Source organism: Homo sapiens, chromosome 1 (genome assembly GCF_000001405.40).
Source record: "Homo sapiens chromosome 1, GRCh38.p14 Primary Assembly".
Lineage (NCBI taxonomy): Eukaryota > Metazoa > Chordata > Mammalia > Primates > Hominidae > Homo > Homo sapiens.
The window spans coordinates 158,470,813-158,498,700 of NC_000001.11; the positions used below are offsets into that span (position 1 = coordinate 158,470,813).

The 27,888-nt window shown below is 34.8% G+C and overlaps 1 protein-coding gene, 1 long non-coding RNA gene and 1 pseudogene across 3 annotated transcripts; 2 read left to right on the plus strand and 1 right to left on the minus strand.

The window, feature by feature from the left end:
* Positions 1-1,407: 1,407 nt before the first annotated feature.
* Positions 1,408-10,124, plus strand: OR10R2 (olfactory receptor family 10 subfamily R member 2). 2 transcript variants are annotated; one of them, NM_001395749.1, is made up of 2 exons: positions 1,408-1,540; positions 9,126-10,124. In NM_001395749.1, exons 1-2 carry the CDS (start codon positions 1,514-1,516, stop codon positions 10,071-10,073), a joined length of 975 nt encoding a protein of 324 aa, NP_001382678.1. In that variant the 5' UTR covers positions 1,408-1,513; the 3' UTR covers positions 10,074-10,124. The 2 variants fall into 2 exon arrangements, with proteins under 2 accessions (NP_001382678.1, NP_001004472.1); NM_001004472.1 differs by lacking the exon at positions 1,408-1,540 and having other exon boundaries at positions 9,066-10,073.
* LOC107985213 (uncharacterized) lies at positions 3,642-24,074 on the minus strand. Its single transcript, XR_001738258.2, has 3 exons — positions 23,843-24,074; positions 23,590-23,742; positions 3,642-3,855 (listed from the first exon to the last, which is right to left on the minus strand). It is a non-coding gene; the product is annotated as an uncharacterized LOC107985213 (long non-coding RNA).
* On the plus strand, positions 20,408-21,346 carry OR10R3P (olfactory receptor family 10 subfamily R member 3 pseudogene; annotated as a pseudogene).
* Positions 24,075-27,888: the final 3,814 nt, after the last annotated feature.

A 27,888-nucleotide genomic window follows, 5' to 3' on the forward strand; every position in this document is an offset into this window, starting at 1 on the left:
TGGTCCCCAATCCATTCTTCACACTGCTGCCAGGGAAGTCTTAGGGTTGTTGTGATGGTTAATTAGAAAATATGTGTTAAACACTTACAACAGTTGTCTGGCATATACTGAGCACTATTTTAATGTTGATTTTTATTATCATGGTCATCATCATCTTTCTAAAATAAAAATCTAATTAAATAATATCCCAGGTTATAAAACTTTCAATAGTTTCTAACAGATTTGAAGGTACATTTTAACTCTGTTAAAAATTCTACCAAAGTACTTGTTGTTCCAATAAAATACATTGTTTCATGCCCTTTGCTTTTACATGTATTTCCTGAAAATTTATGATTTCTTATTATTTGTCTACCCACTACTCAGATTTCAAAACTTCACTCAAGCATAACCACCTCTAAGTAGTTATTGACCTCCATAATCCAATTCATATTTATTTTCTGTATTTCTTTATAGTGACATATGCATATCTCTCATAATCCCCCATCAAAATGTGCAGCAGTCGCTGCTTTCTATGTTTCCTTCTCTGGGGGTTAATATTTTTCTTTTTCCTTTTTTTTTTTTTCTTTTGAGATGGACTCTCACTCTGTCACCCAGGCTGGAGTGCAATGGTGCAATCTCTGCTCACTGCAACCTCCGCCTCCCAGGTTCAAGCGATTCTCCCACCTCAGCCTCCCGGGTAGCTGGGATTACAGGTGGCTGACACCATGCCCGGCTAATTTTTGTATTTTTAGTAGAGACGGGGTTTCACCATGTTGGCCTGGCTGGTCTCGAACTCCTGACCTCAGGTGATCCGCCCGCCTTGGCCTCTCAAAGTGCTGGGATTAGAGGCGTGAGCTACTGCACCTGGCCGGAGGGTTAATTTCTTAAGGTAAAAACTACCAATTATTTGAACTCAGATCACCTAAACACAACACAGTTCATGACTGAAACTAAACTTTGTAATAGATAAATACATGAATGCTCTCTCTGGGCACTATAACTGAGTTCTCCCACATTCTGCCTCATTTCCCATATTTGCTCCTTGCTGCTGTCACTGCTGGATCTACAAGCACCTGTCAGTCCATTGCTCTGCCATTTCTCAAAATATATTCCTTCCCTTGAAATAGAGGCTTGAGTTAAGGAGTGAATATTCTTGTCTCCAGCAAAAGGGCAAAAATCAGAAACTATAGGAGGAAGCCCATGGGAGGTTTTTCTGCTGATTGTATTTCTAGTAGCTTCTAGATTTGTAATGAGTCACTTCACCAAAGGATCTAAAATAGGAAACCAACTAATTTCCTGAGTCTATTCCTTTATCTATTTGGAAAAAAAAGCCTTGAGGAGCATTTTCCCTTTGGATCATAGTTGCTAATTGAGGGAGGGCAGAATGTGTCAGAAGCAATGTGGTCATGGCTCTCTAGGGTGCTAGATAGTAAAATTACCAAGCAGGCATTGATGCTAATGTGAACCAGAAAAAAAGCTCCTTAATTATACTCATTAGGCCTGTAGCTGATCCAGCCCATACAGAAGAGGCACAATGACCACTGTTCTGGGGAGCGAAGTAGTAAGTCATTTGTTGCTGTCTTGAAAAATTTTAAGAGACTAGCAGGAAGATGTGTAATATATTGGGAATATGCTAGTTTTGGGGAATTACTTAGATTTTTCCTTAAAGGGCCTGGGCCATGATTAAGATATACGGCAACTGCATTCCTCTGTACCCCAGGATTCGTGTTTTAAAGAAAGTGAAACTCTTTCATATTGGAGATTTGGTCTTTATTCCATAGATGGCTTGCAGAAATTAAATTATCTAAAATCTTAGGACATATTTATGTCATTTTAAAGATGTTAGCTAGTTATGCCTTTTATCTTATGTTTAATTCAGAAATTGTTGAGATTTTCTTCAAATTGCAGTCTACAAATACGTGACAGCAAAGGATTGGAAGGTGGTAATAGGAAAAGTAGCTGGATGGGCAGATAAAATAATGCTCAAGTTGAGATCTTAAGGTCAAGAAAAAAGAACATTAGAGATATTGCAGAATGGTCAAAAAGGCTATCCCTGGCACCAGTCTTAAGAAGGAATGAAGGAAGAAAGGAAAGAAATATTTAATTAGGGCTTCTTATAATTCTGGGCTACATTTTTTACTTATGTTGTCCATTCATCTTTATAACATCCCATATTACAGAAGAGAAAACTAAGATTCAGGAGGATTAATTTATTTGCTCAAAGAAAATGCTGAAATAAGAATGTGAATTCCATCTTGAGTGCTTTCTTCATAACATAAATTTTTATCTAGCTTCCTTGATCGCTTGCTGGAAGTATCTTTACCAACTACATGAAAAATACCTACAAATTAGTTGCAATGATTTATTTAGGTATTAATTTGCTTAATTATAATTTTGTCAGATTTTGAATATTTGTTCTTGCTAGAAACTCTGATGCTGATGTGGTTAGAGAGATGTATATAAATGTTTGGTGCATGATACGGAAACTTTTGTCAAATGAACAACATAGTCTTTGATTCTAAGAGCTTAAATTGTACCAGGTAAGAATGATCATTGTATAGAATGATCTAAAATGTAAGAAGTCCAAGAATGAGTGTTTCACAAGGGTAAAGATCTTTGGTTTGTTCACTGTTGTATCTCAAACACCAAATAATGTGTCTCAGATTTAGTAATGTATACAATAAATAGTTTTTAAATTGAAATAGTGCTTGGAAACCTGACTTACAGGGAAGTGATTTGAAAGATTAGAGGATCTGCCCTAACACAGGAAAAGGCATTGTTGTTATAAGACATGGCTCTTTGCATGTTCAGTGAACTAAGAAGTTCCATAAGATTAAAACATTGGGATAAAATCTGGGAACTGGAATAAATGTTTGCAGTGTTGTGAGAGATCTAACAGCCTTTTTCCTTGTCTTTCCTTCCTTTTTTCTTCCCTTTCTTTCCTTCCCTTTCCCTCCCTTTCTTTATCCTTCCTTCCTTCCTTCCTCCCTCCTTCCCTCTTTCCCTCTCTGCTTCCTTCCTCCCTCCTTCCCTCTTTCCCTCTCTGCTTCCTCCCTCCCTCCTTCCCTCTTTCCCTCTCTGCTTCCTTCCTCCCTCCTTCCCTCTTTCCCTCTCTGCTTCCTTCCTTCCCTCCCTCCCTCTCCCTCCCTCCCCCTCTCTCTTTCTTTCTTTCTTTTTCTTTTCTTTCTTTTTTCTTTTCTTCTCTTTCTTCATTTCTCCCTTTCTTCCTCTCTTTCTTCTTTCTTTCTTTCTTTCTAAGAAAATTGGAATTTTACAACGTTTGCAGGGATTATTATAGGGTTCTGAGTAAGAAGGTACTTGGTAAAATGTAAATTTAAATGTCTCTGTGACTGCCACTTCTGAGTTGAACTGTTTCAACACCCACCTTACCATTTATTCTCCTATCCTCTCCCATCTTCTCCTAGCTGTTCTCTGTGTTCGCAATGCCATGCCTCCTATTCTCAGGCCCCTGTATCTCTGCTGCCCAAATCACTCTGGAAAATAATCTCCTCCAATTGCCCTTCCCAAGTCAACAGGAGTGGAGGTAAAAATGAAAAACAGAATGAAACAAACAAAACCCTATAGCTTCCTACTTTGAATAAATTTGTTTCTTCTAATTTCTCCCTTCAGGCTGGATACAAGAGAGGAAAGGCAAACAAAAATAAAGAGTGTCATAAGATATTTATTCTTTTTAAAGAAATACAGATTCTCTTAAGATTCCATAGTTCTGGCTCTAGAGAGGAATCAGTCATGTAGAAAATACCAGACAGGGGTTACAGGGGGCCTGGAGAGAAAAAGAAAGTTCATTCTCCAATAAAGATGTTATGAATCAGTTGGTCAGCCCATTGAGTGTGTATTCTATTTTTGTAGTTCTATCTGCAAGAAAAAGTACAAATATATTTTAATTGACACCTAGTATGCATGCACACATACACAAATTGAAATAAAATATTTGCTTTAAATAAGAGCTATTCAGACTGGGTATGCTTTATTTTAATCTTCTCTTCTTTTATCTGCTCTCCATTTAAATTTAAAAACTGCTGGGGTTGAAACCTAATTTGATTCTATAACCTCAGTGATGTAATAAACATAAAGTTTCAAAATCACTGTCTTAAAACGTATTTTCCTATAAGACAAAGAGACCAGCAAAAAAAAATTAATAATAGTTAAGAAAATAATACCACTAGATAGAGCACTTATTATGTAGCAGGTGTTGTTCTCAGCACTCTATATAAATTAATACATTTAATAATAATCACAGCCTGTTTCATAGATGAGACAACTACAATATAGCGAGGTTAAATAAATTGTCTAAGGTTACAGTCACCCAATGGAAGAACTGGTACCCAAAGCCAAGTTACCTTCCTCTAGATTCCATACTGTCATTCAATACACAATAATCCTGCCTTTCTTAAAACAAGTACTATTAGTTTGTGTTACAATTTTCAATTTTTCCCTATTAAAAATACATTTTTACATATAAATCTCTATAGGCAACTTTTAAGAAATAGAATATTGGAATAAATTAGATAAATATATTCAAGGATGTAGATATAGTTTGCTAAATTTCTTGGCATAAACAAAACCAAATTATAATCTTATTAGTAAATTTTTTGTTACTAGTCATATAACACCACCACAGCTAATTTGATGAGTGTAAATAATATCTCTACTTTACTTTATTTGAAATACACTTCAAGTTAAAATATATTTTTAACATAAATTTTTATATGTTTGATGCATTCTATTTCTATTTTATAAACTGTATGCTTTTATCTGTTTTCTTCTTCAAAGTTTGTTATTTTCTCCATCGGCTTGTAATACATTTTTTATTAATATTAACATCTGAAGAATATTTTTGGTAGTTTTCCATTTGTTGTTTGCTTTCTATTATTTCTAATTGTGCCTTTCTGTAAATAAATATTTTATTTTACACCAATTGTTGCTTAATACTCTTTGATAATATCTCATTATTGTTTACGTTTAGCTTTTCAAATTTTCTGTCCAGTAATACAATGTTTTCTAATCCTTTACATTTTTTTGTATTTTATTAACATATAAATTTTGAATGTATCCGTTGAAAATTTAAACTGATATTTAAAATGTATTAAAGATGTATTTATTAAGTTACTATTATAGGTCAGAAACAGTTTAGGTGGCATTGAGATGTTTTATATTTTAAAAATCATTAAATTTTTGTTTAGGTAAAGAATTAAGGTATAAACTTTCTTCTGATAACTGCTTTAAATTTAGCCATATTTTCTAATATATATAGCTGACATTATTTTCTAGAACTTATTTTATTTTACATTATATTTTCCCTTTGACCCAACACTTGTTTAATAGTATTTTCAAATTATCATATGGAAGAGCTTTCAAAAATATGATTTTCGTATGATTTTATTGTTACTGATCAATGGTTTTGCTCAAATGTACAGACAGGTTTTCTATATTTTTTAAAAAAAATTTAAGTAGGCTGGGCGCAGTGGTTCATGCCTGTAACCCCAGCACTTTGGGAGTCCGAGGTGGGCAGATCACGAGGTCAGGAGATCGAGATCATCCTGGCTAAGGCGGTGAAACCCCGTCTCTACTAAAAGTACAAAAAAATTAGCTGGGCGTGGTGGCAGGTGCCTGTAGTCCCAGCTACTCAGGAGGCTGAGGCAGGAGAATTGCTTGAACCCGGGAGGCGGAGCTTGCAGTGAGCCGAGATCATGCCACTGCACTCCAGCCTGGGCGACAGAGTGAGACTCCATCTCAAAAAAAAAAAAAAAAAGGAAAAAAATTAAAATAATTAAACTTAAAAAATTAATGTTTTAATTAATGCTTCTTTAAGTATATAGGATAAATGTGTAAGATACGTTTTAGTCTTTACAGTTTTTGATCAATGTTTGTGAGCACTTGGATAGTCATGAATATGAATAAGATGAAAGGGTGATGGATCATTTCAATGTGTAGATACAAGTCTTTTATTTCATAGCATTCTGACTGGTGTGAAATGGTATCTCATTGTGGTTTCGATTTGCATTTCTCTGATGATTATTGATGATGAGCATTTTTCATAAGTTTCATGGCTGCTTGTATGTCTTATTTTGAGAGGCGTCTGTTCATATCCTTTGCACATTTTAAAATGGGGTTTATTGTTTTTTGCTTGATTTGTTTAAGTTTCTTAAAGATTCTGAATATTAGGCCTTTGTCTGATGCATAGTTTGAATATTTTCTCCCATTCTGTAGGTTGTCTGGTTCAATATTTGAAAATCAATAAATGTAATTCATGACATAAACAATTAGAAATGAAATTCATATGATCATCTCAATAGATGCAGAAAATTTTCAATAAAATCTAACGTCCCTTCATGATAAAAACCCTCAACAGACTAGGCTTTAAGGAACATATCTCAAAATAATAAGAGCCATCTGTGACAAATCCACAGCCAACATCATATTCAACAAGCAAAAGCTGGAACTATTCTTGAGAACTGAAACAACACAAGGATACCCATTCTTACCACTCCTATTCAAGGCAAGAGAAAGAAATTAAAGGCATCCAAATAGGAAGAAAATGTCAAACTATTTGTCTCCATTGTTGATATTATTCCATATCTAGAAAACTAATTTAAAGACTCTGCCAAAAGGCTCCTAGAACTGATAAATGACTTTAGCAAAATTTTAGGATACAAAATCAATCTAAAAAAGTCAGTAGTGTTTCTATATATCAATAATGTCTAGACTGAGGGTCAAATCAAGAACACAATTATATTTGAATAACCACAAAGAAAATAAAATATCTAGAAATGCACCTAATAAAAGAGGAGAAAGGTCTCTACAAGGAGAACTAAAAAACACTGCTCAAAGAAATCAGAGATAACACAAATAAATGGAAAAACATTCCATACTCATGAACTGGAATAATCAATATTGTTAAAATGGCCGTACTGTCAAAAGCAATTTACAGATTCAATGCTATTCCTATCAAACTACCAATGTAATTTTATCAGAATTAGCAAAACTATTATAAAATTCATATGAAACCAAAAAAGCCCTCAAATAGCCCAAGTAACCCTAAAGAAAAAGAACAAAGCCAGAGAGAAGCATCATACTAGCCAACTTCAAACTATACTATAACGTTACAGTAACCCAAACAGCATGGTTCTGGTGCAAATACAGACACATAGACCAAAGGAACATAATAAAAAACTAAGAAAGCAAGCTGCACACCTACAACCATCTGATCTTCAACAAGGCTGACAAGAGCAAACAATGGAACAAGGACGCCCTATTCAATAAATGGTGTGGGAATAGCTGGCTAGCCATCTGCAGAAGAGGGAAACTGGACCCTCACTTTTCACCATATACAAAAATTAACTCAAAGTGGATTAAAAATTTAAATGTAAAACCTCAAACTCTAAAAATCCTAGACGAAAACCTGGGGAATACTATTCTCAATATCAGCCTTGGCAAAGAATTTTTGGTTAAGTTCCCAAAAGCAATTGTAGCAAAAACAAAAATTCATAAGTGGGAGCTAATTAAACTAGAGCTTTTGCACAGCAAAAGAAACTATTGACAGAGAGAAGAGATTCTTATTTCTACCTGTTAGAACCTGAGGGGAGGTTTATGTGCAGTAATTAGAAAAAATTTCATATAAGCTAATTTTATTTAATGGGATTCTACCTGACTAAAAAGTATTCTTGTCTTCTCTTATACTAAGATTTAATTAACTGTTACTAGAAAATCAAAGGTATACTACATTGCTTTGACTATTTACTGCAGAAAAAAACTATTGTAAGTTTCAAACCCCAATTTTCATTTTTTCATAAACCATACACAAAGTTTTTCCTAAAAGCAGTTTATGTATCAGAATTCAATGACTCTACAATGGACCATGTTTTATTTAAGGCATGCTGGACTCCATGTGTGTCTATAGATGAAGATGATGGGTAAGGAAAGAAGGAAGGTGATAAGGATAATTCTAGTCACTTCAGAAAATACTTATTCTGCATATAAATACAGATAATTAGTCATAATCTGTTTGCTCATTTTTCTTGAATGTCTACATTATTGCTGTTCAAAGTGGGGAATAAGTGATATTAACCTAATTCAATCCATCTATATTGAGCTCAACAGAACCTATCTCCCAACCCTCTGTTCAGGTATATAATATCTTCTTTTGTAAAATGTGTTTATGGTTATTTTAATTATTATTACAAATATAACTGGGCATTACTAGAGTGGTAAACTTTATCAGCCTGAGAATGCAAATAATCAACTTACAATTGTTTCTATCAACAATCTTCAAAGAGCTGTGATGTGTTCCAGAAACACTTAAAGATCCTAGAGTAGGACTAAAATGGTGACAATTAAATGGATCACAATGCTCCAAAAGCCTCTATTTAGTGATTAAACTAGACACATTTGGGCAATTCTGATTTCTTTTCATATAAATTTTATAATCATCTTATCAACCTTTAGATGAAAAGCCTGCTGGGATTTGTTAAGAATTATGTTGACTACATAGACCAATTTGGTCAGAATTGCTCTTTATTTTATTACATCTTTAAACTCATGAACATGGGTGTTCTTCATTTAGTCATATATTTTATAATTTAACCCAGCAATGTTTGAGAGATTTCTCTGTATATGTCTCACACTTTTTTGTTAAATCTGACACTAAGCTTTTTTATGATATTGTGAATTGAATTGTTTTCTTAATATCATTTTTAGATTTTTTGTTGCTTGTTGTAGTAGGCCAAATAATGAGCTCCCAAAGATGTCTATGTTTTAATCACCAGAACCTGAGAATATGTTAGATTATACAAGCTCAAGGAATTAAGGCTGCAGAAGGAAAGTCAACTGACAATAAAATAGAGATATTATCTTGTATTATTCTGGTGGGCCCAAAGTAATCATAAGGGTTCTTAAAATTGGGAGAGAGAATCAGAAAGTCAGAGAAAGAGATGTAACTTTGTTGACTTTGAAGATGGAAGAAGAGGACCATGAACCAATGAACATGAGAGGTAGTTAGGAACCGGAAAAGGTGAATAAAAGGCAAGATTCTTCTTTGTCACCACCTGAAAGGAACAAAGGAGTGCATGCCCCAAATTCTTATATTCACATACCTGAATATGTTTTACTTCTTTCCCCCTTTGCAGATCTTGGCAGAAAACCTCACCATGGTCACCGAATTCCTGTTGCTGGGTTTTTCCAGCCTTGGTGAAATTCAGCTGGCCCTCTTTGTAGTTTTTCTTTTTCTGTATCTAGTCATTCTTAGTGGCAATGTCACCATTATCAGTGTCATCCACCTGGATAAAAGCCTCCACACACCAATGTACTTCTTCCTTGGCATTCTCTCAACATCTGAGACCTTCTACACCTTTGTCATTCTACCCAAGATGCTCATCAATCTACTTTCTGTGGCCAGGACAATCTCCTTCAACTGTTGTGCTCTTCAAATGTTCTTCTTCCTTGGTTTTGCCATTACCAACTGCCTGCTATTGGGTGTGATGGGTTATGATCGCTATGCTGCCATTTGTCACCCTCTGCATTACCCCACTCTTATGAGCTGGCAGGTGTGTGGAAAACTGGCAGCTGCCTGTGCAATTGGTGGCTTCTTGGCCTCTCTTACAGTAGTAAATTTAGTTTTCAGCCTCCCTTTTTGTAGCGCCAACAAAGTCAATCATTACTTCTGTGACATCTCAGCAGTCATTCTTCTGGCTTGTACCAACACAGATGTTAACGAATTTGTGATATTCATTTGTGGAGTTCTTGTACTTGTGGTTCCCTTTCTGTTTATCTGTGTTTCTTATCTCTGCATTCTGAGGACTATCCTGAAGATTCCCTCAGCTGAGGGCAGACGGAAAGCGTTTTCCACCTGCGCCTCTCACCTCAGTGTTGTTATTGTTCATTATGGCTGTGCTTCCTTCATCTACCTGAGGCCTACAGCAAACTATGTGTCCAACAAAGACAGGCTGGTGACGGTGACATACACGATTGTCACTCCATTACTAAACCCCATGGTTTATAGCCTCAGAAACAAGGATGTCCAACTTGCTATCAGAAAAGTGTTGGGCAAGAAAGGTTCTCTAAAACTATATAATTGAAATATTATTACATTTTAGATTTCTTAATAAATAATGCCTTTTTATCACAAGCATATTATAACTGTAACAAATTCATTGAAATAATAGGAGTCCTTAAGAGGCATGTCATAAAATATGTTTTTCTCCTTACAGTCTCTTTAAATTTAATCCACAAGCTAATGTTTTTCATTTCCTCATATGGAATCTCAGGGAACTCCTCAAATTTAAATGCCTAGTCCACTGGGATAACTGAAAATTTAAACTTAATTTAAAGCTAAAATTTCTGCCTTTTCTGGGTGTTGAATTTTGAACTGGGAAGCCTTCATTGGTACCAGTGAAGGTTGACTTATGTATTAGCTCTTTCAGCAAACACTTTTCTCTCTACTTATTTCAGTGACTGACCCTTCAAGCATTATACTGGGGAGGGAGGGATAGGTGGAGGGAACATCTTGCTTCATTGCCACAGTCATGCTCTGGCAATACTGCTTTCAGATGTTGCACACTGAGTCTTTCTTATGCAGGGAGCTTTCATGGCTGCTGAAATAATTCCTTACTCGGAACTTCTACCACATTTCCTGTGATATGGTTGAATCTGCCTCTAGCTGACAGCTTGTAAAGTTTCCTCCTAATTCTGAGGTTTCAACATTTATCTGGGTCCCATGTTTTCTAAAGGTCTTATTGGACAAAATGTTATTTTTAAGTGATTCCACAATGACAATTTCTCCTAAATGGTCAATATGTGATCCAAAAGAAAATTTTGACAATCCTTGCTACCCATAGTCAGTTGAAGTGCTGACATATTTCTCTGTGTACTGGTATTTCAGGCCAGTAACTGCAGATTTCTACATTCAGATTTCTCAGGTGAGCTCAGATAGCAATCCACTGTGTTCCTTTATCTCCAGCAGATATATATCAATATCTTGAAGCAGTTTTCTACTCTTGGGGAGAGATAAAACATTAAGAAAGTCAAGAGCTTCCTCCAAAGATTATATTTCCACCCCTTTTTTCTCAAAATTTTTATTTTTTAAGAGCAGTTCACATATTTTATTCTCTCAGCTTTTGTGCCTCAACTGAAACTAAGAAAAACTGCCTTTTATGACATTGCTGCATGTTTTTCCTATAGTTTAAGGTGTTATGATGGTGTTTATTGGTAAATATTTAGTTCATAAAGTTACCATCTGTATACAGAGTCAAGTAGTTGGCCTGACCAGTGGTATAGCCGTAAATAGTCACCTTAATCACTCTAGATCACATTTTGCAGCACATGGTTTTTTGAGAATCTGTTGAAAGCTATGTATCTAATGCATGAAACTCTCCTCATGCACATATACAGGAAAAAAAAAACTTGCTTACAATCTGAGGAGTTTACATAGTATACAAAGTCCATCCCTAAATCCAATTCATGGGAGTACTTGTTCATGGCCAAAGTCATATAATCTATTTAAATTTGCTTTCATCATTTCACCTTTTCTTTTTTACTTTTAACAATTTGTTGTAACTTTTTTTTACCTGATTGAAAGGTTATTTATATCATCATGTCACAGAGTTTACATGTTTTATAATTTTATTATAACAGCAGGATAGATTAATAGACATCCCTGCTGCTATCTTCTAGATCCCTTTAATGGATTTAATTTCCTTTTTAATATCAAATTTCAGAAAAATTTACCGCAAGGTAGGCAGAGAAACTATCCTGGTCAAGATAGCATATTCAATTAACTAGAGTATTGCTATTTTATGTCACATTCGTTAAAAATTTAGGAGAAGGTACTGTGCAGTCTAACATTTGAGGTTTTTAAATACAGAATATGTATACATTAGGAAAACTAAATTCTATACTGTGAAAAGAAATGAAAAGTAAGCAGGAAGTTTCAGAAATAAACTACACTTAACATCTTGATCAACTTTCATGAAAAGTAGCTGATTTTTGTGTCCAACACTAATGTATAGAATATTTTCTGCAGCATGCCGACATGAATGTGATTCAAAACATTTTTTTCTATCTTACTATATGGCTCTAGTTTCCTACCATCCTGGCATATAGGTCTCTTGAATTCCTTTTTTTATTAGTAGAAACAAGAAAGAGTTAAAATTATGTTTAAAAGATATTATAATAATAAACAGTAGAATAATACTTCTACAGGAAAATAATTTGCAGTGACAAAATGGCCTTGTTTGCCATCATCATACTATAGCCATCATTAATTAAAAAGGCAGTAGAAGATAAACATAAATTTGCCATTCTGTGCACCACATTTCTTTACTTACAGCTTATAAAGTGGGATCCTATGGAGAATGGTCCTGTACCGGCCTAAGAATCAAAAAAGGTCTTATTTGAAAAGATTATCTCCTTCTTTGTCCAATGTCTACCATCAAAGTTTTTTTTATTTTCACCTGTTTCATGAAGTATTACCTGATTTCCATTCTTCAAAACACCATAGCATTGTAAGCTTTACTTATACTTCTTACTGAGCTCTGACATATTGAGCTGATTATGTACATATCTTATTTTCTCTAATGGACAATCAACAACGTGAAAGGAAGTAATTTATTATACCGATACATTAACTCCTCCTAAATGTCTTTTATATCCCTGACATTCAGGAGATAACTAATACATGTCTCTTAACTTTAATTGAATAAATGACTTCTTGGTCTAGCTAAGAAAAACATCTGAAACTACATGTGAAAGTGTAGCAATATTTATGTCCCCCATAACAGTAATTAAAAATAACAATGACAATGATAATTTATTTTGCTCATTAATCTCTTAAATGGGAGAGGGCTTATAAGATTGGCTTGTCTTAACTCCATACAATGTCAACTGAGCTGCTCAACTAGAATTGAGGGACCCACTTCCATTTGGCTCATTTACACGGCTGGCAAAATGATGCTGATTTGTAGTGGAGCTGAGTCAGGGCTATAGGTTGTGAGAGTCAGTATCTCTCCATGTGGCCCTTTTCATGGGGTTCTATAAACTTTCTCACAACATCATGACTGGTTTCAAAGACTAAACATTCCAAGAAACAGAAAGAGGAAGCTGCTAGTCTTTTAAGGCATAATACCAGCAGGTTGTCTGCTCCTGACACCCAAAAAGACAATGATGTGATGGGCATAGGAATAGCAATGGACATTCCCTTGTGAAAAAGGAGGAAATTAGACACATCACAGTCATTGGTCCATAGAAATTCTGAAATTCATCTGGACACTGTTGCCAGTCCTATTTTCTGGGAATGAATTCCATGACTCTTAGATCTAACCTGTGATGCCATTTCCCCACTTTCTGATCATCCTTTTTTATCTGCAAGACATAGCTACAATTTGCAGACATGTCATTTCTTAGTCTGATACCTCCATGGAAGAAGTTGAGGGTCCAAAGGTCTATTCATTTCTGTTTGCTCTGTAGCCTTTAGCACATGTTGATAGAATGCCTTTTTAAAACTTGGTGAGTTTCTTATGTTTCAGTTTATAAATTAATTCCATTAGATAAAAGTCACATCCATATTCATTTCTTTATTATGGGTCACTTGTGAGGTAGCAGTATTAATAACTGCTGTATGGCAATTCCCTTAAGATTCTTAAAAAGACTTATTGCTTAACTTTAAGGAGTCAGGCCCTTAGGATATTTATAAATCTTGTTGGGTATAGCCTAAAATATTTCTGAGTTCTAACAAAAAGTATTACAGCTACATTCTTAAGAGGTTTACCCTGAGGCATTGGTTTCCTGATAGCACCTTGGATTTGATTTCTTCCTTGAAGCCATTTTGTACCTTGAGAGTCTTTGTTGAGAGAGACTGTGCATGAGAAACATCTTTATTTGCAAACCCAACAAGTTTTGTTTCTTTCTGTTTCCTCTAAATTCTCAGAAACTTAAGAAACTTTAAAAAATTATGTACTTTTAAATTGACAAATAGTCATTGTTCATATTCCTTAGGTGCATAGTAATATTCTGATATAAATAATGTTATAGGGATCAGATCAAGGTAATTAGCATATCATCATCTCAAACATTTATCATTTCTTCATGTTGGGAATGTTCAACACCCTCCTTCTGGCAATTTGAATCTATACATTACTGTTAACTATAGTCATCCTACAGTAGCAAAGAACACTGTAACTTATTCCTTTATCTAGCTGTAATTTTGTATCCTTTAGCAAATCTCCACCTATCCTTCCCTTTTCTCTACTATTCCCTTCCTCTAGTATCCTGCTGTCTACTCTCTTTTCATATTTTATCATTGGTTGGAATTTTCTATAGTCTTCCTAGAAATTTACCCAGGAAGATAATGAGATTACTAAATAGTCTATTTTCCAGGCTGTAGCATGTGGTCCTGCTGCCAAACTTTAGAGCAATGGATAATAAGTATCCATGTTTTACCTAAGTATGATAACAGTTTCCTCTCTGTCCTTCAAATATTTTTCTCTCTGTGCTTCAAAGCTTTACCAAGAGTTGCCTTATGATCCTTTCACCTTTTAGTAAGAGACTCCTTAAGTCCTTATGGATTATTTATACCACCAATTGCAAAATTAATGCCAAATGTTTTAAATGTTGATTATAACAGCACCCTGCCTTTAGATACCAAATTCTGTTCTCATTATTTACTGCTGCATAATCAACTCTCTACAACTTTAGTTGCTTAAATGAGCTGTAATTATTTTGCACACAAGTCTGCAATTTTGGCAGGGCTCAGTGGGGACAGCTGGAATTTGTTCTTTGTCCCAGCAGGTTGGATGATTCAATTGGGGCTGAAGGATTTACTTTCAAGATTGCTCACTTATGTGCCTGTTTTATTCGTGTTAGCTATTGGTTGTTTGCTCAGCTGGGGCTATTGGCCAGGAGCCTTGGTTTTTTACCATATAGATTCTCCAAGGGCTGTTTGGGCTTCCTCAAAACATGGTTACTAGGGTACAAAAGTAGATGATTCAACACTCCATAAGTAGCAGCTACAAGACTTTAGAGACTAGGGTTAATAAACGGATACAGTCTTACATTTACTATAATTTATTTGTCAAAGTAGTCACTCTTCCTATCTGGATTCAGGGGAAGGAGGAAGCCACCAAAAGTTCCTGTCTGGGTTAATCACTTGGGCTTTTCTCTTGTTTTCTCATTGCTGCAGCATCTTTTTTTAAAAAAAATTAATTTAATTTAAAGTTCTGGGATCCATGTGCAGGATGTGCAGGTTTGTTACATAGGTAAACATGTGTCATGGTGGTGTGCTGCACCTATCAACTCATCGCCTAGGTATTAAGCCCAGCTGCATTAGCTATTTATCCTGATGCTCTCCCTTCCCCTGCCCCTCAACCATAGGCCCCAGTATGTGTTATTTCCCTCCCTGTGTCCATGTATTCTCATTGTTCAGCTCTGACTTATAAGTGAGAACATGCGGGACATGACTTATACGAGAGCAGTTCACGTGAGCACCTTAGAGAGACGTCCATGCATGTCTAGCATTTGACCCATTTCCAGCCCAAGTGGATGGACTCACTGTCAGAAAGAATCGATATGTGAGCTGAAATGGGGAGAAAGCTGATGGGCTTTGTGAAAACCTACATGAAGGCATTGTCACACTTTTCTCTATAACCCAAACTGTATTCATATACTGAGGAAATATTTACCAAATTCACATTATATTCCAGAAGCAAACCTGTTTCTAATGTATCTGAAAGATTCTGCCATTCTAATATTCTGTCCTCTATTCTTTATATCTTCTTCTCTTTTAGCTTTCAGAAATAGGAATGTGTAGCAGCATAAAAAAGAATACTTTTCTTCAACTTCAGAACGAAACTCTAGAGGCACTATGTAGGGAAATTCAAAGGAGATAGTTTCATTGATGTATATTTTAACAAATGTTGCCTGGAGAATCTCCACATCTCTGACTCCTTAGAGAATTTCCAAGAGGAAGTCAACTAATCCCCATGAATAATAGGGCTTTTTCTTTGGCCAATGAATTCTCATAGTGTATTATCATGGTTCCACATGCTAATTAGAAAAATTATGGACAAGTATTGGGCACAATGTGGTAATTAGCTCCCTGTGGAGATGGCGAGCTCACTTACCAACCAAGGCATTGAGACCATGGCTAATGTAAAAAGGAAAGGCCATTGATGACACCCATTGAGGCACTACCTAAAGCACCCATGGAGACAGGGCACAGGTAACATTTTTCTCTGGAGTAATGCTATTTTCTTATTTTGGTCTTGGGAGTTCCTGAAAGATGAAGAAGAACCCTGAGGCATCATGACAGGGAAGGCAATTTTGGCAAATTTCACTTAGAAACCCTTTACAGAAGTTTCTAGGAAATGCCTGAGAATGAATTAACTGGCAGGTTACAAGGCACTAGAACTCTGATTTGAAGAAATGTAAAATTTTAATTTTTATTTAGAGACCTTGATTTTTTTATTAAGAAGACCAGTGACAGTCATTTATTTGTATGTCAAATTTAAAAATTGTTGAGTTTTTCCATGAGCTAGTGATCTGTTTATCCCTAGTTATTAGTAATGAAAAATAGAAATTGTGACCAAATGACAGAAAGCAAAGCTGAATAGTGAAGAAAATAAGGATAAAAATTGAGACCAAGGCCAAGACAAAGGCAGAGACTCAGGCTAAGTCTTGATTATTTCATAGGGTGGAGGTAGTATTAGTTTTGGAAAGAAAGAATAAAAAATTTACAGTAAACATAGAATGTATAAGGAAGACAGAAGTGTTTCTCACTTAAGAGGCACATGGTAGTGCCTCTTAGGGAAACCAAGTTACTACAAAATAAACTAATTGGAATTATTATTAATTCATTAATAGACATTTATTTTTTCATCAAGTATCCATATCTCATTTATTTAAATATTGGATAAAGTTGAGGATACAAAGGGAATAAGATGAGGCATTTATCCTTGGGACTCTTAAATCTATTGGAGAGACCAATAGGAAAAAAAAATTAGATATAACATGTTGAGTATTTTGATGAAGACATACTAGACAAGCTTTAGATTACTAAGAAGGGAACAGCACACCCTCCCTAGACATATTGGAGAAAGTTCAATAATTGATGACTCAAAAAATGTGAGGAATGAGTGGGCCATACATGAAGAGGAAATGATATTGGAGGCTGAGATCGCTCTCTCTCTCTGTCTCTCTGTCTCTCTCTCTCTCTCTCTCTCTCTTCCAGTGGAATCTTGAGACACAAGGGCATATAATGGAAACTGTATTTCAGTACAATTCCTGTGTGATGAAAACTTAGAGGATTAGATTGTAAATGTATGTGAGACAGAGAATCAGATGTCCTATGATTCAGCTTAAGGAATTCTGACTTTACCTGTAGATGATGAAGAGTTACTAAGCGGTATAATGTGAAAATATCAATTCACAATTTCTACTTGTTAAGAAGGTGATCTAGTTACTCTATTTTTCTTCTTTTCTTTTTCTCTCTCTTTCTCATTTTTCTAAGCTTTTCTTTCAACCTGTAATGCCTTGCCTTCCAAACTCATGTCACTATCTCCTATTTAGCAGTTACTTTAAGCAGTATCCTAGACTGAGTTAAGTAAAGTCAAAGATTTCCATAGTAAATTTTATTTTTCACTATTAGTTCCACATAGGTTCCAAGGATGAGTTTGAAAGAACAGATGGTTGATGGGGTAGGAGTTATAGAGTAAATACTGAGTAATGTGACCTTACTTTTCATTCAGGTGCACCAACTTTATTTGCTTACTTTGTCACTATTAATACTGGCGATGAGCCTGTAAGTGAGAAAACACTCCAAGAAAGGATATATGGAAAGTGGAAAGGCATAGAAGATGTCTCAGGAAGAATGTTAGTGAGGACTCTGTTTTGGTCAAATGCATGGTGTATATTCTTTATTTATAAAGCTTAGAGATAAGGCCATTCAAAGATGTATAGAGATAGAAAATAAAACTCTTGGTTCTAGTCCCATTTCAAAATTTTATTAAACATTTGCCTAAGCAAAACAGCAAATATTGATAGCAATTTAGTTATTTGTAAAGGATTTGAAGCCCCTAAATCAAGTGTTTCTAAAATTAAAATAAAAAGTTTAGCTAGTGAGATAACGGAGGAAACTATTTGATCATCAGAAATGATAAATAAGATAGCAACATTTTTTACGGGATTTTTTGCTCTGCATTCAGAGAATAATATCAGAGAGATTTTTCATCCCAAAATGTTGAAGCAGAGTGTAATATTACAGGCTAGGTTGATATTAAGGTAACAAGTTTTGAAAATCCCTGGAATCAAATATCATCTACTTGAGAGTTTTGAAATGATTTAGAAAATAAAGTGATATCATTGGTCATTTATTTTTTTAACAGGCTTTGAAGCACTTAGTATATATTGGGCATCATTGTGTGTTTTTGAGATGCAGTTTCTGTTATTTGGTAAGTTATAATTTGTAGAGTCAAAGACATTCTTATAATAATAGTTTGTGGCAAAGCAGGTAAGATTCTAGTGATTACTCAGGAAATCCAGAAAAAATGGTGCAGCATGATTAGGAAGCTGTAGGAAGGATTCTATGAGTAAAGTCATTTTAAATGAAAAGTAAAAGGAGACCACAAAATCAGAAGCAGAAAAACAATAAGTATAAAGCAGAGACTATTTACAGATATAGAAAGTAGTATGAAAAATGACTTGGTTGTGTAAAAATTCTCACTGCTAAAGTACATATGAAGGAATCTATAATGGCAGTTATGAGTGAAAAGGTGAAACTGGGAAAAGTGTGAAAAACCTAGAATATTTTATAGGTAACAGAGTCAGTTGTTGTGGTAATATGATAGGATTTGTTCTATAGAAAGACAATTCTGCTGCTATTATGAAGGATTACTCAGAGTGGAAGAGAGAATCTGGGCAGTTCATTTATAACACTATAGTCCAGGGAAGGGATAATTGCTTGCAAAAGATAAGAATGAATCCTAAAAGTGAAAAAAAATAGATTGAATGTGGAGGATTAGAAAAATGGTGAGTTTAAACACGTCTTAGAAATTTACAGCTTAGATGGCTTAAGAGTATTTTGAAACTATTTATTGAGATACAGAATCTAGATAAAAGAACACATTTAGGCAAGAGGTAGCACAGAATAAGAATGTTTTGATTAAAATGTATATAATTCAGTACCAGCAATGATAAATATGTTGGAGGCCTTAGGGAAGATATCTGAGCCCACTTATTCAGAAATTTAGAGACAGCTCCTTGGAATGACAGCCTTTTGGGCCTCCAAGTCAGGTACATCAAGGATAGGACATAAAACAATGGGCAACAAGTGAATGCTGAAGCAAAACTAAAGATTCTAGCTATGTCTTTTCTGTAAGGAGAAATCAGGCCTATAATTTTGTAAGAGTTTGTAGAATAATCATAAAGCTAGTCCTAAAACAATAGCAATAGTTCAAAACCAATTTATTTGTAACAAATGAATGCATAAAAATTGGTTATATAATTAGTTGTAAAAGGGAACTGTGCTCTTTAAGTAACACAAAGATCAATGGATGTTTCTCTAGATGGGGAAGGTATTAAAAACAGGTGTAGAAATGTGAATTGTCAGACATTGGTGCTATTGCTTATTCATGCTATCGCTTATTGACATATGTATCAGTAATCAGGATAAAAGTGTGACCGTTGAAAATAATAATTAATATAGATAAAGGATTTTATAGCATTAGATTACAAGAATCCCCTCTAGTCTGCAGGGAATATATTCCAAGACTCCAATGGATGTCTGAAACTGAACAGTACTGAACCCTAAATATACTATGATTTTTTTCTATAATACATGTCCATGATAAAGCTTAATTTATAAATTAGGCATAGTAGGATATTAACAACAATAACTAATAATAAAATAGATCAACAATAACATTATATCAGCATCACTACTCTTGAGCTTTGGAGCCATTATTAAGGAAAATAAAGGTTACTTGAGCACTAATTTGGTGATACCATGACAGTTGATCTAATAACTGGACGGCTTCTGAGTGACTAATGGATAATAGCATATACAGTCTGGATACACTGCACAAAGGGATGATTCTTATCCTGGGCAGGAAGGAGCAAGAAAGTCTCCAAGTAGGGGACCTAATAGATAGGCTTTATTTGAGCAAATGACTGTACACTTCATGTGTACATTTGTCCCCAGATTCACTGCTAAAATCAACAGCAGAAAAATAGGAGTTTGAATGCATACCAATTTAGAAGAACTTCTGGTTAAATTTACAATTCTTTTTTCTCTCCCATGCTTGTTGTTTCTCATCCAAACAAGACTGGCATAGCTACTTTATGAGGGTAGGTCTCCCTGAATTTTAAGTTCCAAAGATCTCTGGACCTGATCATATTGACTTTATTCCGTGGGATCAACTCTTCATGGCCAATTCTTCCTCTGTCACTGAGTTCTTAGTGCTGGGCTTCTCTAGCCTTGGGGAATTGCAGCTTGTCCTCTTTGCAGTCTTTCTCTGCCTCTATTTGATTATCTTGAGTGGAAACATCATCATCATCTCAGTCATTCATTTGGATCACAGCCTCCACACACCCATGTACTTCTTTCTAGGTATTCTTTCTATCTCTGAAATCTTCTACACAACTGTTATTCTGCCCAAGATGCTTATCAACTTATTCTCTGTATTCAGGACACTCTCCTTTGTGAGTTGTGCCACCCAAATGTTCTTCTTCCTCGGTTTTGCTGTCACTAACTGTCTGCTTCTGGGAGTGATGGGTTATGATCGTTATGCTGCCATCTGTCAGCCTTTGCAATACGCTGTTCTCATGAGCTGGAGAGTATGTGGACAACTGATAGCAACTTGTATTATTAGTGGCTTCCTAATATCTCTGGTGGGAACAACTTTTGTCTTTAGCCTCCCTTTCTGTGGCTCCAACAAGGTCAACCACTACTTTTGTGATATTTCACCAGTTATCCGTCTCGCCTGTGCTGACAGCTACATCAGTGAACTGGTCATCTTCATCTTCGGGGTCTTGGTGCTTGTTGTGCCCTTGATATTTATCTGCATTTCCTATGGCTTCATTGTCCGCACCATCCTGAAGATCCCATCAGCTGAAGGCAAACAAAAAGCCTTCTCCACCTGTGCTTCCCATCTCATTGTAGTCATTGTCCATTATGGTTGAGCTTCCTTTGTCTACTTGCGACCCTCAGCCAAATATACATCGGGCAAAGATAGGCTGGTGACAGTGACCTATACCATCATCACCCCAGTCTTGAACCCCATGGTATACAGCCTCAGGAACAACGATGTGCAGATGGCTATTCGGAAACTGATTGGAAAGTCTGGGTTTTCTCTTAAGACTCTATGAGCAGAATACTTTCTAACAGTATGGACACCATTAGAACAATTGTGTCACGATTATTTAAACCATGAGATTATCTAGTCTATTTATCTAACTAACTGCGAGGCCTTGGATTAATTGTTTGACATTTGGGGCCTACATGTTCTATGTAAAGCAGAGATAGCAATATTTTCTTCCTGGAGTCATTGTAATTAAGATAGATTACAAAATATCTGGCAATAAAACATAACTCTCCTCCTCTTTCTCTTCTTCCTCTGAATTTAAAGTCCTCAAAAGGGTCTTAGCAACCATCATTTTTTGCCCTATATTTGTCTTGCTTGACCAAGATCTCTGATTGCACTCTGTTTAAGGTTATGTCCAGCTTAAAATGAGGTGTCCAGGCCTGAAGGTGGCTTAGATCTAGTGGTATGACATGGCAGGGAAAACTGTACCATACAGGTAATTAGATGATTTAAAACTGGACACTGGTTAGGTCATGACTGAAGCGTTGACTCTTCTCTGAATCTAAATTCTAATATATGGAAGGTAGGGATAATGTAATTTCCCTGTTTTACTTCATGGGGGCTTTATTTGTATCTTATAAATAGTATAAAAGAAAGTGTAAAAGCAGTGCAAAATGTGAAACCATATACAATGTAGAGCTCATTTCAAACATGCTTTCCATAACTGAGAGGATTTTATTTCTTTCAAGGTCCTCAAAACAGGTATTTTGGAATGGCTTTTCTGACTGCTCCTTTGAACCACTTCTTATGCAATGTAGAAGTTTTGCTATGTAACATAGAAGTTATGCTTCATAATGGAATGGAAAACAATATTCAACCATTCCGTCCCATCTTGGGCTAAAGGTATCTACGTGGCTTTCCACACTGAATTTATTAGGAAGAGGAAGATACCCGGCTTCAAATTTATCATGGGAATATATAAGATTTGAGAGAGAAGTATCTTGGTGATCATCTGGTCCAACCTCTCACCTGTACAGAAATTTCTTCATCAGTATCTCTAAGGGAAACCCTTCTCCACTGATTGGGCATCAACGACCTCATAAAATGTATATTCCCGTTGCACTCAGCTCATACTATTATCCCCTCTCATTTCAGCTGAAGTTTGCCTCTGCTTTTCATGCATTCTATCTCTTGTGTCATACAGTAAGTCGAGTCCTGATTCACAGATGTTTGAGACAGTTATGATGACAGTCTGAACATTTTCCATAATTTATGTGACCTGAATTTCAGATGCCTCACTATCCTGGGTGCAGTTCTCTAGCTATGCTGTAGATTATCAGTATTCTTTTAAAATAATAATAAATAAAACTGAAGTTCATATTTCATATGCAGCCTCTTTTTTCTGGGACATAATATAACTGTATTCTTTCCTGTTAACCTTATTTAGATTTTCAAATTAAAATGTGTCAAATCACAAATAATGTTTTCTTATATTTAAAAATTATAACCTCTGTTCCAATTTTTATCTCCCTTTTCCAGTTTTTGGCCTAGGTATTTTTATTTATTTTCATTTTACTTCATTTCATTTTCATGGTTAAATAATTAAGGCATTTCAAGTACAACATTGGTTATTGCCATTGTTTTCTTCTGTTCTTTTTTTTTCTAATGGGTTTATATTTCTCATTTATTGACCAAATGTTATTTAGGAATGGAGTGTTTATGTATTATAGATATATTCTTGCTGATATTTAAATAACTTCTGTTATTTATTTCTAGTTTTGTTTGTGGGAGAATGTGATTGACAGTTCTATTTTTACAAATTATTATGTTTTATTAGTGGTTTCTTATGAATTATGCCCAGTGAAGCACATTCATTTAGATTAAAATTTTGGTATGTGTAGATGTTATATTTATTTTATGAATTAAATTTAATTAAACTATTTTAGCACACTATATTGTTATTGGTGTGTATATAACCTGTCATGGTTTCATAGTGCCAAATTAAAATGCTTTACTGCATTTTAGAGCTTATTAGAGTTTTATACACTTCTAACAACATTGATGTTGAATTTTGTTGTGAAATCTTTTATTACATACTAAATAAACCTCTTGGGATTTAACATGTATTTCTACCTATAAATGCACTAAAATAATAGTAGGTGTATTAAAAAATACATATAAGCCCTCATCAAGAAGGTAAACAGGAGAGAACAACACAGGGCAGACATCAAAACAATTATAGAAGCAAAAATAAAAAGGATGATTGACATGGTTGTAAGAGAAAGAGAGAAAGTTGAAAACATACCTGCAAAACGGGGAAGCCAACCAGTTCACAACACCAAACTGTATCTGGACATTCTTGTCACAATTGGGTCACCAAGATGACATTGGAAAGAGTAAGATTGGCTTAATATCTGAATAAGGAACTCGACTTCTCCATCAGTGCTTCTCAAATCATCTGCAGTAAAGAACCAGTTTCTTTTTACATTTCATAGAAGGCCAATACTTCAGTAAAATATGATAAAAATCAACTACTAGAAAAACGAAATGAAAAGCACCTGAGCTATTCTATATTCTGCTCCAAAAATGTGTCTGATTATGTGCTTGTATGTTTCAGTAATACCAAATTTTATAATAGTTGCTTACCACTGGTAAGTAACACAAATATAATTTAGTTTCTATACCTGTCTCATTACAAGCCAATAACAAAAAGCTCATAGATCATCACTAGACTGCCAACTCCCAACGGAGTAGCATTGCTTTGTATCTGTTGAATGCCAGTTTAAGATTGGAGGTTAAGTTTTACAGCAGTTAAACTAAGGACTTCTGACTTCAAACACTCGGTAGAACAGAGGCAAATGTAAGGGGCTATACTTCAAGCAGAGGATTAAATGTGAATGCTTTCATACTATGAGGCAGCACCAGCCTCTTTCCCAACACTCAGACCCCAGATTGACAGCCAGTCTTACACCTTTCACTTAGGTAGTAGGAGTGTTTCTTTCTGGAGAAGGTAATGAGAAGTTATGAGTAATTTCAACAAAATGAATAGCATTGCTTTGCCTGACTTCTGCATTGGAACCCACCAGTTCACAAGGTCTACCCACGTGCAGAGAGCTTCAAATAGGCTTTTTAGTGCTGTGGTCTGGAATATATTTGAACATCCAAGAGTTACCATATATTTGAAGAAGGCTTTAACATGAAACACAGATACCTAAAGATAAGAGAGAATCCCCAGGGGGATATACAGAAAATGCATAGAATAAAAAATAAAATAATTGACATCTTCATATAAAATATATTGGAACCATGAAAGAAGAAGAGTATACCATGTACACTTTTTGATCAAAACACACACATACAGAAAAGTGTACAAATTATGATGAATACATCAATTAATTACCACAAAGTGAATATGTGTAGGTCAAAAAATATAATATTCCAAATACTTCATTACCCACTACCTATTCTCTAACAGAAACAATATTCATGGCTTCTAATATCATGCATTAGTATTTTCATGCCTTCACACTTTATAACGATATAATTACAGAGTTATATTCCCTAGTATTATTATTCTCTTTTACTCTAGTTTCTCTTTCCGTATCTTTTGCTGTTATAGGCTTATCCATCATGTTTATTGTCTTATGTTCCTCCAAGTTTAACCTTCATTTATGAAACAATTTTTCTTTCATTTCCAACTGCTTCCTAATCTATCCCCTCTTTTCAAAACTTCTCCTCTATTCAGTCATGACTGAGTTTATGATTCTGATCTTTGCTGTTATTTTGTATTTTCTATCACTTCTTTAACTTCTTTGACCTCATTTTGAAATATTTAGTTAGAGTTTTCATCGATTTTGAAGTCATATCTTCCTGGCTATTGCAAGTTGTGCTCCCTGGGAAGCATATTCTGAGACAACTTGGCATATAGAATATTTGTTAATAAATGTATGGGATTAACACCTATGGAATGTGGGGGGAAGTATCGGGTACAGAGAGAAGTCAAGCCGAATGCACTCCTAGTGACAGCCTCAGCTGACCCAACAGTGAGTTCTGTAGCTAGAATGACCATTCAGAGGCGTCCTGAGCTGAGCCATGATGGCCAGGGCTTTATTAATCTGCATAATTTTGTTTGGGTGTAGTTTGCTGCACGAAGCCTGTTACTTTGGACAAAGTGTCTGTGTTGCTGATACAATGACTAAGTTGACAGCTAAAGTCTGCCTACTGACAGAGCTACCATCAGTTGGCGGGCAACAAGTCCTTTACTTGAAAGAGAACCTGGGCAGGATATCTTGGTTTTCACTCGGTAGGTGCACAGTTATTCTCTATAGTAATGTTGTACTGCTGATGATTTTTTTCCTCATAATAACTTCATATGAGATATAGGCATGATCTTTTCCTGAATTCATGTTTAGTGAGATTTGTTTTCATGTACTCTTGTAAGGGGAGGATAGTATTCCTAGTTTTGCAGCTGTTGAGCTCCCTCTTGTGTTGTCATCAGAAAGTATTCAGCTGTTAATTGGAGCCTCTAAACATTCCTTGTTTTGGCTAATATCAAATCAGCCAACTGACTTTTTAAGTTATTACCATTGGCAGTTGTTTTTTGTTGTTCTTGTTGTTCTCCCGATATTAGTACTTCCAGAATTTGTTCTTTTGCTCTTATCACCATTTCTAATACTATACTTAGAGTTCCTTGTGTGTATTTTGTTAATTAGATTTTTAAAAAACAGGTCATGAGGGTTTTAAATTTCCCTTTTACATTCACTTTTTTCCTTATTTTTAAATTAAGGAATGGTTTATATTTAAAAATTTAAGTATTTTAAGTATCAGTTATTTGAGGTTTTACAAATACATTCACCCATTTAACCACCCCCACCAGTCAAGAAATATGATATTTTCATCACATCCAAAAGTTATCTCATGTGAATTTCCAGGTGACTCCCTACCCAGAGACAACACAGAATTGATTTTTATCAATATAGTTCAGTTTGCACTTCTTGAATTTGAGATATATGTAATATTATAGTAAGTACTCTTGTGTGTCTAACTTATTTCAGAAAACTTAATGCTTATGAGATTCATCTATCTTACTGCATGTAAAATAGTTTGTCTTTTTATTGATGTATTCACCTGAATGGATATGCAAAAACATATTTATTCATTTATCTGTTGATAGACATTTGGTTCATTCTTATTATTGGCTGTTATAAATAAACCTGCCATGAACATATTTTGAACAAATCTTCTGTGGACATTTGTCCTGTCTCTTACATGTTTAGGAGTAGCACTCCTGGGGTCATAAGGTAGGTACACATTTAACTCCATAATATGATTCCCAAATGTTTTCCGGTATGGGTACACCACATAACTTTCCTACCAGCTGCTTCACATTCTTTCCAACTTTTGGCACTGCCTGTTTTATGTTCCTGTATTTTTAATATATTAATAATTCTAGTGAGGGTAAGTAGTACCTCATTTAGTTTTATTTTGTATTAGCCTGATATCTAATTATGTTGAACATTATTTTATCATTTGCCTATTGACCATTCCATTTTAGTAAATTACCCTAGTCTTCTGCTCATAAGATTAGTTTAAAATTATTGAATCCTATTATTTATATATTCTGAATTAAGTTTGTTTGGAACACATATGTACTATGAATATTGTCCCCAAGTCTGTGGCTTGCATTTCTATTATTTAAATAGTGTCTTTTAATGAGGGCAAGCTTTATTGAATTTTGATTAATTAAATTTACAATTGTTTTCTTTTATATTTAGTACTTCTTGTGTCTTGTCTAATAAATGTTTTCCTAAACTGAGATTGAAGAAATCTTCCCTTATATTTGTGCCTAGAGCTTTGTAGTATTAGCTCATGTGTGTGGTGCAGGTTCATTTATGTTTTATGCCTTAATCAAATATATTGAGACATAATTTATATACAATAAAAGACACCAATTTTAAGTGTATAGTTTGATGTTTTGACGTATATGTAGAAACATGTAATCACCACCATGATCAAGATATAGAACATTTCTTTGCATGTAAGACAGAAACAAAGGGTTATCAGTGACAGTTTCTACCCTACATCAGGCTCAGCCTCCAATGTGTTTCTGCATTATATTTGTATTGTACTTTATTACTTATTCATACAGATAAGTAATTTCAAGTTAAAAGAGAATTATTTATTTTTTATATTATCCCTTCTTGCAATGCTTTTCAATTAAAATCAGATATAGGCAAATCTTTAATCCCAGACTTACCCAAAGCAACTTTTCTGCTGATTTCAAATGCGTTAAAAGTTGTACAACAGAATATCCAGCCTGTATTTGTTTTAAAATACTTAAAAAAAATCAAGAAATATTTATTAAGCTACACTTTAAAATACCATTTATATTAGTATAAAGATGAATAAATAGATTAATGGAACAAAACAGAACATTCAGAAATAGAAACACATATGTATAGTTAATTTTCTACAAGGCTCTCAAGGCAATTTATTATAAAAATGATATTGAAAATGAAAAAAGATATAGAACATTTCCATTACCCCTAAATTTTCTCACATGCCCCATCCCATTGTGTCCCCTATACCACCATCAGCCGCAGGA

Bases quoted from the DNA above. Each gene is read 5' to 3' on its own strand.
- OR10R2 (NM_001004472.1), top strand. From the start codon at position 9,066: ATGCCCCAAATTCTTATATTCACATACCTGAATATGTTTTACTTCTTT.